We start from the raw sequence: 8,341 nt of genomic DNA, 5'->3' as shown, positions 1-8,341 counted from the left end.
GGAGGGTCTTAGCAGCCAAATCTCAGGCCCCCTGCTTAGGGAGCCACATCTTTCAAAACAGGGATGCAAATGATGCTTCCTCCAGAAAACCTGCCCTGGCTTCCAGGCTCCTAGCACTCTACCACATCACAGTGTCAGCTCTCCAGTACATGTGCCTTCCCCTGCCAGACCGTAGGCTCCTGGAGGGCAGACCTGTGCCTGATGTATCTCTGGTGTCCTAGCCTGTACTACAGGCCTCACACATAACACATACTTGGTGTTGGATGAACAAATGAATGAATCTTTCATGCCCTTGTCCTCCAGCAAGGTTGGTCCTGAGCCAGTGAAGGCCATTTTGAAGCCAGGCAGATAACTGCAGTGGGAGTAAAAGGATGGCAAGTGGGCCTGCTGGCTTTCTCTGGATGGATCTATGCAGGGTAGCAGCTGCTGTCTCACCCATTAGACTGTGGCAGCCATTCCTGGAATCTCAGGGTGGTTGGCTGCATGCTGCTCAGGTCTCTGGTTGCTCTAGGAGGGGCTGGGACAATGCTCCTTCCTCATACACGCATCCAGTGAAATCTGCCCAGAGGCAGAGAAGGGCTCTGCTCTTGGGGATATTCATAACCCTGAGGGGTTTACTGCCCAAAGTTGAGGGTCTGGTCAGTGGAAGCAAATCTTCAAGGGTCCAGTGCTCCTTGGAGGCAAGCTACCCTGGTAGGCACTGTGGGCTGCAGGACCCCTGCTTGCTAGCTCTGCCCCATCCCCACCTTGGCTCGGCCAGGCATGGAGGCAGTAGAGGGGGGGTCTTGAGAAGGCAGCGGGAGCAGCTCTTATGGCGAGTCCCATATACACTGTCCCGGGAGGATATGGAAATAGAGAGTCCTGCCCTTGGCCTTGGAAGCAGCCCCGGGCCTAAACCACCTGTGGCTCCCAGAACCCATCCCTGATTATTGCTTGCTCTTCAGCCTTTGTGCAGGCTGAACCCCAGAATATGCTTCTTTCTTGGCTGTGCTAACCAAGACTGACCAACAAGACTCGGCCCAGGTGTCACCTCCTCCAGGAAGCCTTCCCCAAGCCCTTCTCAGTGCCCCATTGCACACCAGTGTTTTCATTGCCTCCCTTACTCAACTTCATTTCTTCAGGCCACAGACCACATTTTCTTCATTTCGGTATCTCCAGTGCCTGGCACATAGTGGCCATTCAGGGACAATGGCTGAATGAATGAATGAGTGAATGAGTGAATGAGTGAATGAATGAATAAATATGGTTTAGTGCTAGTTTCTCTATGTCCCTATGGTCACTGCAATTCTTCACTGAGGTGTCCCCTGCAAAAACCAAATGATAGCAATATTTTCCCAACTTGGAGAAGCAGGGGGAAAAATTGAAGATGGATGGATTCTTTTCGACTTAAAATTGTTTTCCTATACATCTTTCAAGTTGGTACCTGTTGCTGTTTATATTACGGTCTGGAAGAAAGCATCATGGTTCAGCCCAGGAAGCCCCATATATATTCCCCTGGAGATGGATGGCCTCAGGGTCCCTGGTCCTAATCATCCTGAGGGTGTTTTCTGGGGCCTCAGGGAGCAGAGCTGGTGATGACCAGGATGAGCAGGGCGGATGCTACCCAGCTTCTCCTGCTCTCACCGGGGAGCTGGTATGGGCTGAGCCCTGCTTCAGTGAGAACCAGAATGTCAGGGGCTGACATGTGAGGTGGGAATGCTTATGCTCCCCAAGGGGTGGGATGGGTCCCTGCAGAGGGTTTGGCCAGCAGATGGAAACTCTTTTTAGCCATGGGGACCAATCCCAAGATTTTAAAGGATTGCTTGGATAGTGGCCCATGCATTCTGGGTGATTAACTGTGGCCAGGGTGATTTTCCATTTCTTCAATTCCCATTTATTCTGGGGACCCAAAGGAAGCCTGATTTTGCCTACAAACTGCAGGGTCTTAGAATGTTATGGATTCCACCGATGGTCTCCCTGAGAGACCCTAGGACTGTGGGGGTTGGAGTGTGGGTGGGGAGTGGGGGTGGTGCGTTGACTGGCCTGCATTAGGATTGGGGAGGGCAGTGTGGCAAATGCTGTCAGATGCCCACCCCAAATCCATTCTCCACTTCTTCCTCACTGACAGAGGCCTGCTTTTGTGTGGGAAGTGATATATCTGGCCCCCAAGTAATATGCTGACCATGATAATCCTGTCCCTCATTTTTTCTAACCTCCCTTGCAGCTAGGGTGCCCACGTGAGCCACTTCTGGCCAAGGAGACACAAGCAGCACTCTGGAGGGTGGTTCTGGGAAACCTGTTGCTTTCCTGATAAAAGGGCAGAAGTAGCTGCCATAGCCCTTTGCCATCTTTTTGTCATCTTCCTGCCTTGGATGCTGACTTGATGCCTAGAGTTATAGTAGCTATCTTGCCACCATGAGGGAAAGGCCAAGAAACATGAGCTCTGACACCTCTGAGCCTGAAATCCACATTCTCTGTAGAATTTTTGCTCTGTAGGAAAATGCATTTTGATTCTTTATGACTCCATAGTCAGTTTCTGTTACTTCACAAATGCTATTGAAGGGACGACCAAGATGATCCACCCTGAAGCCAAGTGCAGTGGGGTGGGGTCATGTCGAAACTGGGTCCTCCCACGTTAACACAATAAATGATACCCCTCTCTGCCCCAGCCCCACCCTGCCCAGTGAGTGACACGTGTCCTATAAATGTATCCTTGTTTAGCCCACTGGGTGTGAATGGCTGAGGTGGCTAGTGATGACACTGTGCAGCCATGGGGCTAAGGATGCCCACAGGGGTGCCCAGAGTCAGTCTCATTTCCTGGACTCCTCAGAATGTTGTGGTGGGGTGGGGATTCCTGGATTATTAACCCAATCCCAATTCCTGGAGTTATTGGACCAACATCTCCAGAGAAGCTCCAGACAAAGAGCCCTGCCCAGACCTGGTGTGACCCCACCTCCCACAGTGCTGCTGTCAAAGGGGAGAGGTCTAACCTGCTATGAGAGGGACAGAGCTGGGGCCTCATTTGCAATCAGGGTCCTTCCAGGAGACAGATTACAAAACTGTCCCTGAACTCTTCACCTTCCTTGTAACCACACTCTTTGCAGTGTGACTTTGTAGCTCATTCCTTCAGAAGGTAGAGTTTATTTTCCCATAGCTTGAGTCTGGGCTGGCCTTGTGACTTGCTTTGGCCAACAGATTGTGGTAGAAGTGACCTTGTGCCAGTTCCAAGCCAGGGACTCAAGAGGCCTTGCACGCCTCTGCTGTCTCTTCTGGACACTTTCCAGCCCCATAAGAACAGGCACGGGCTAGCCTTCTGGAGGATGAGTTGTCCCTGTCACCCCAGCTGCTGGCGAGCCAACCCTCAGAAGCATAGCACCCTGCTGACAGGCAGCTGCCCACATACAAATGCAGAAGCCCAGCTGAGACCAGAAGAACCACCCGGCTAAGCCATGTCCAGATTGCCAGCCTGCAGAATTAGCGCTAACTATGTGGTTATTGTTTTACTCCTCTGTTTTGTTTGGTTTGTAAGGCAGCATTATTGTGGCAATAGAGAACTAATAACAGTCCTCTTCCTCCTCATGGTTTACCAAGTGCTTCCACAGACATGAGCTAATTTGATTCCCCAAACAACACCTATGAGGTAGATATTATCTCCCTTTTGCAGATGACAAAAGCGATATGCTGAGAGGTTCTGACTTGCTCAAGATCATGCAGCCAGCCACAGTGCTCCTGACTCCAAATTCCCTGCTTTCAGTTTATAAGCCACTCCCAACACAGCTCATCAGCTCCTAGAGATCTCCATCCAGCCCTTGAGGACCACAAGTCCTTCCCTCACCTGGCAAACTTTGAACATTGCCTTGGGCAGTGGTGCTGTTCATTCGAGCGTTAGTGTGAACCACAGACACGAATCCCTTCCCACCCTGACGTGTTGTGACAGCATGCCACACCACACAATGTAGGGGAAGAGGGCCAGAGAGGCACCCTTTCTGTAAGACACCACCATGCACATTGGTGTGACCTCACAGTGCATAGGTGGGCAAGTGAAGCGGGGGCTAGATTCATACCCACTTGCTCCCTGGGCCAGGCCCCAATACAGAGGCTCAACCTGTACCACCCCATAGAGCTGCTCTGTGAGAGAAAAGAGGACTAAACAGAGCTTCTGAGTAGCTATAGACTCGGGAGGCCAAACTAGCACCCCAGCTTTGCACGCAACAGGCCTCCGTAAGGGGAGGCCATCTTGGGCAGATGGACTAAAGGCAGATGGACTAAAGGAGTTGTCAAGGATTCGCCTGCTGTGTGGAATTCCATTCTCACCCATCTTGTTCCCCTCACTCGGAGGCGGAGCTGCCCTGGCCCACCCGCTCCTCCCTGTGGCCACCCCCATCGCTCACCGACAGGGTTGGGGTGCCCTCGTCCTCCACAGTGGCCACCAGGTGGTAGAAGCTCTGGCGCTCGCGGTCAGGCGGGGCAGGCCGTGTGGCGATCTCACCGCTGATGCGGTCCATGCGGAAGGCCATGTCCTTGTTGCCCTCGGTGATGTAGTAGGACAGAACACTGTTGATCCCGATGTCACGGTCAGTGGCTCTCACCTGGACCACAGCAGTACCTCCACCCACGTTCTGGGAGGAGAGCAGGAGAGCAGTCATTCTGGACTCAAGGCATTGGGGCACAGTCTGGCACCTGCTCCTGTAGCCCGAAGGCTCCCCCTGTACCTCCCAAAAGCTTTGCTGCATCTACCCCAGAGCAATGATGGAGATAATAAGGATGATAGCAGCGAACATTCTGTGAGCACCTCTGATATGCTGGGGCCTGCATTAACTCACTGGGTCCTCTCTCCAACTCTGTGAGTTAGGTACTGGCATCATCATCCTCATTTACAGAAGAGAAAACTGAGGTGCAGGGAAGGAATGTGTGCAAGTCCACACAGCCAATCAGTGGGCTGAAGTGAGGGAGTCTGGCCTGAGAGCTAGACTCTGGCCACATGTCATCCTGCCTTCATGAACGTCCAACCTAGCATGATACCCAGCAATGCCAGGGCAGATTGGAGTGGCTCAGTCTTAGGGCTGAATAATAAATACATTTTTTAAAAAAGCAAGCTCCCGGGGTAAACCTCAGTTTCCTGTCTGGTGAAAGGCAACTTTCTTCTTTTTCTCTTTTCTCTTCTCCTCTACTCCAAAAAGATACTGCATTCTAGGATCCAGGCTAGGCGTTAGGGCTATCACTACGAATGAGCCACAGTTCCCATCCATGAGATCTGAGGGACCAGTGGGCCAGGCAGACATTTAAACAGGGGCTGCATGGTTGGCTCGTGCCCACGGTCCCCCCGTATGTCCAGCTATATGGGCCCCGGGGCTGCCCTCACCTCATTCACACTGACATTGTATCCAAAGGGGCTCTCGATGACTGGAGGGTTGTCATTGATGTCCAGGATGGTCACCTGCAGGATGTGGTCCTTCTTCCGTGGAGGGGTGCCTCGGTCAGAAGCCACAACCTGCAAGGAGGAGGGCAACTGGAGTCAGGGCTAAAGCGTGGCGGGCAGGATTGGGAATATGGAGTCCAAAAGGGCTGTGCAATCAGTGGGGAGCATTTGGGAGGGCAAAGAGACTCACTGAGAACCCCTGGGTGGCCTGGCCAGCCCTGGGCTCTCCCGGCCAGCCCTGGGCTCTCCCCAAAGCCTTCACCTTCTGCCCCATGCTGCAAATGATTCTTGCCCAATCGTCGTCTGACTTGGGATCCTCGTTTGGAATCTGATTAACATGTACCCAAGCCTTGACCTCCTGACCTACCTCTGACTGTATTCTGGGCTGTGCCAGCCTTTGACCATGACCCTGGGCCTGCAACCTGACCCAAGGCTCCTGTCTTTAGCTTCAAAGGCCTCTGTCCCACGCACTCTGTCCCATGATCTCTGGCAAACGGGAAAAGAGCCTCAAGTAATATTATAAGCAATGAGCTGGCGCCCTATGGCTGAGCCTGTTCCTGGGAGCCTTGATGCAGTCATAAGTGCTGCAGGAGCTGAGCCCTCTGCAGAAGCGCAGTCCTGAGGTTCCCAGAAAGCCCTTGGCAAACATCCCAGCCATGGCCATTCTGCAATAATGATAGCCTTCGTGGCTCCTCAAGCCTGCACTTGCTTCTTCCCTCCACAGGGCAGGCCAGACGGGGATTTTTTTGTACATTGCATAGGTGGGGAAAATGAGGCCCAGAGTTAATAACCTGTCCAAGGCCACACTGTATTTGTAGAAGAGCTGGGGCTCTCCCAGCTCCACCAGGCTCTCCCTCATCCTCCTGGCTCTTACAGCAGGGGAAGACACCTCAACTACCTCCTCCTGGGTATCTAAGGTCCCTCCCAGGTTTCCCTATCCTGGGTCAGCCTCACTGTGCTCTTGGCCCCGATGGGTGCAGCTGGCCCCATGTTACTTGGTGACAGCAGGGGCACTGACCACCAGAGTGTGCTGATGGACAGGCTCTCTCCTGGATGGAGAGTAGTGACCGGTCTAGGCACTTAGCCAGTGGTCTCTCAGTCCAAGGGAGGCCAGGCCCCACCTGGAGGATGTAGTGATCCAGCTCTTCTCTGTCCAGGGGCCTGGCCACAAACACTTCGCCAATGGAGTCATTGGTGGTGACGATCTCAAAGGCCCCCGCGATGTTGCCAGAGGCCAGGGAGAAGACCACCTGTGGGGAGAAGAGAGGGTGAGGGGTGAGCAGGTGTGGAGGAGAGGTGGCCAGGTCAAGCCAAGGGGGACTCCCTGGTCCTCCTCTGCCCACGTGGGCCCTCTGTTGAGCAAGGGCTTTTGGGAGTGCAGTGTTTTAAGCAGAAGTGATTCATCTCCCTCAAAATGGGGGTGCAGGCCCATGGAGGTAGTGTAGCACCCATGGAAAGTTCCGGGGCTAGGAGATATCAGTATCCTGGCCTGGAAGAGTGGGGCTTGAGTCCCATGGCACTGACGTCTTCCCAGGGTAGAGGGGATTGTGCTCACGCTGCTGGGGTGGGCACACGCTGCGGCATTACCTGGACTCTACTTGGTTCTTACGGCAACCTTGACAGAAAGCAACTGTTCTCAGTTCACAGAGAGGAGGCTCAGAAACATGGAACAACCAGCCAAGGTCACACAGCTTGCAAATGCCAGAGGTCTGAACCTACACACTTTTGTCTCCAAAGCCAGCATCCCTCGACCCCCTAGACCATGCAAGCCATGCTAACACCCGCAAACACACGGCCTAATGCACGGAACAGATGAAAGCTGTGTGAACACTGGCGGGTTTCATCACTTCTCCCTCTGCACTCTGGGGTGTCCAAACCTGGAGCGACAGCAAGCGCCTCCTGCCATGGGGCTGGGCCTAGGAAGCAGGAGAGAGGACGAGCATGTCCTCTCAGGGAGCTGGGGCTGCGTGGGAAGGAGTTACCCGGAAAACAACTTCACTGAGGGGTTGCGCCTTGGCTGGCCTTCGGGCTCCATGTCCACATGACCCAGGCAGGGCCACCGGCCTGCATAGCTCTGAGGCAGCTCTGTCCCTTCTCCCTGACCACAGACTGGGTGATTGCAGGGGCAGAGACCGGAAGAACCTGGTGCTTGGTGATGGGGGTGGCTCAGAAGGCCCCTCCAGCTGTGAGAGCTGTGGGAGCCCCGCTGACATGGTGGATCCTGGCTGTTTCACTCGGTGGCCCACCTGCCCATTGCTGCCAGCATCAGGGTCCCAGGCCTTGACAGTAGCCACTCGCTGGCCCACAGGGCAGTCCTCGGGTATGCTGACCGCCGAGTCGGAGGTGAAGTCAAACCGGGGGCTGTTGTCATTCTCGTCCAGCACAGTGATGTAGACCTGAGGGTGAACGTGGTCAGAGACCTACAGCCTCCTTCCCCTCCTTGGCCCCAAACACCTGGGTCCCACCGTGGGTCCAGTAGGGACCAGATCCCCAGTGGGTTCTGGAACATCAGCAAACCCTCAGAGCCCACCGAAGCCTATCCTGACTTTACAAAGGAGGCCCTGGGCCCATGGCTCCTAGCAGTCTGATTGGTGTGGGGTGGCAGGTAGACACACTTAAATCTTGGCTAGGAGGGCAAGGGAAGAGGCCTGGTGGGGAGACTGTCAGAGGTGGTGGGGACAGGAGAACTGAAAAGCCAGGCCATGGCTAAAGTGGATGGAGGCTAGGAATGCTGGTCTAGCATGAGCAAAGCTTCCTGTTTTTCATGAAAAATAAGGAATCTAGATTTTAAAGTGAAATTGGCTGATGAGTAATAAAATTTAGAGAAGAATATTATGTGTGGGCTGTCCAAAACACATCTGGTGGCCAGATATTGCCCGAAGGTGTCTTTGTTTGCAACCTTGGGCTTAGAGGGAAGGAAATGGGCCCAGGAGCAGGAGGGGG

At 53.8% G+C, this 8,341-nt stretch overlaps 1 protein-coding gene across 1 annotated transcript in view; it reads right to left on the bottom strand.

The window, feature by feature from the left end:
* Nucleotides 1–8,341, bottom strand: part of CDH23 (cadherin related 23) — a 419,028-nt gene that overhangs the window by 69,656 nt on the left and 341,031 nt on the right. Inside the window, exons 35-38 of the mRNA NM_022124.6 lie at nt 7,645–7,794; nt 6,520–6,648; nt 5,342–5,470; nt 4,371–4,598 (exon numbers count right to left, since the gene is read on the bottom strand). Coding sequence (NP_071407.4) covers nt 4,371–4,598; nt 5,342–5,470; nt 6,520–6,648; nt 7,645–7,794 — 636 coding nt within the window. The remainder of the gene's footprint in view (nt 1–4,370; nt 4,599–5,341; nt 5,471–6,519; nt 6,649–7,644; nt 7,795–8,341) is intronic.

The sequence above is a fragment of the Homo sapiens genome, chromosome 10 (genome assembly GCF_000001405.40).
Source record: "Homo sapiens chromosome 10, GRCh38.p14 Primary Assembly".
NCBI classification, from domain to species: domain Eukaryota; kingdom Metazoa; phylum Chordata; class Mammalia; order Primates; family Hominidae; genus Homo; species Homo sapiens.
The sequence above is the reverse complement of the archived record's forward strand: the minus strand, read 5'-3'. Positions and strand labels throughout refer to the sequence as shown.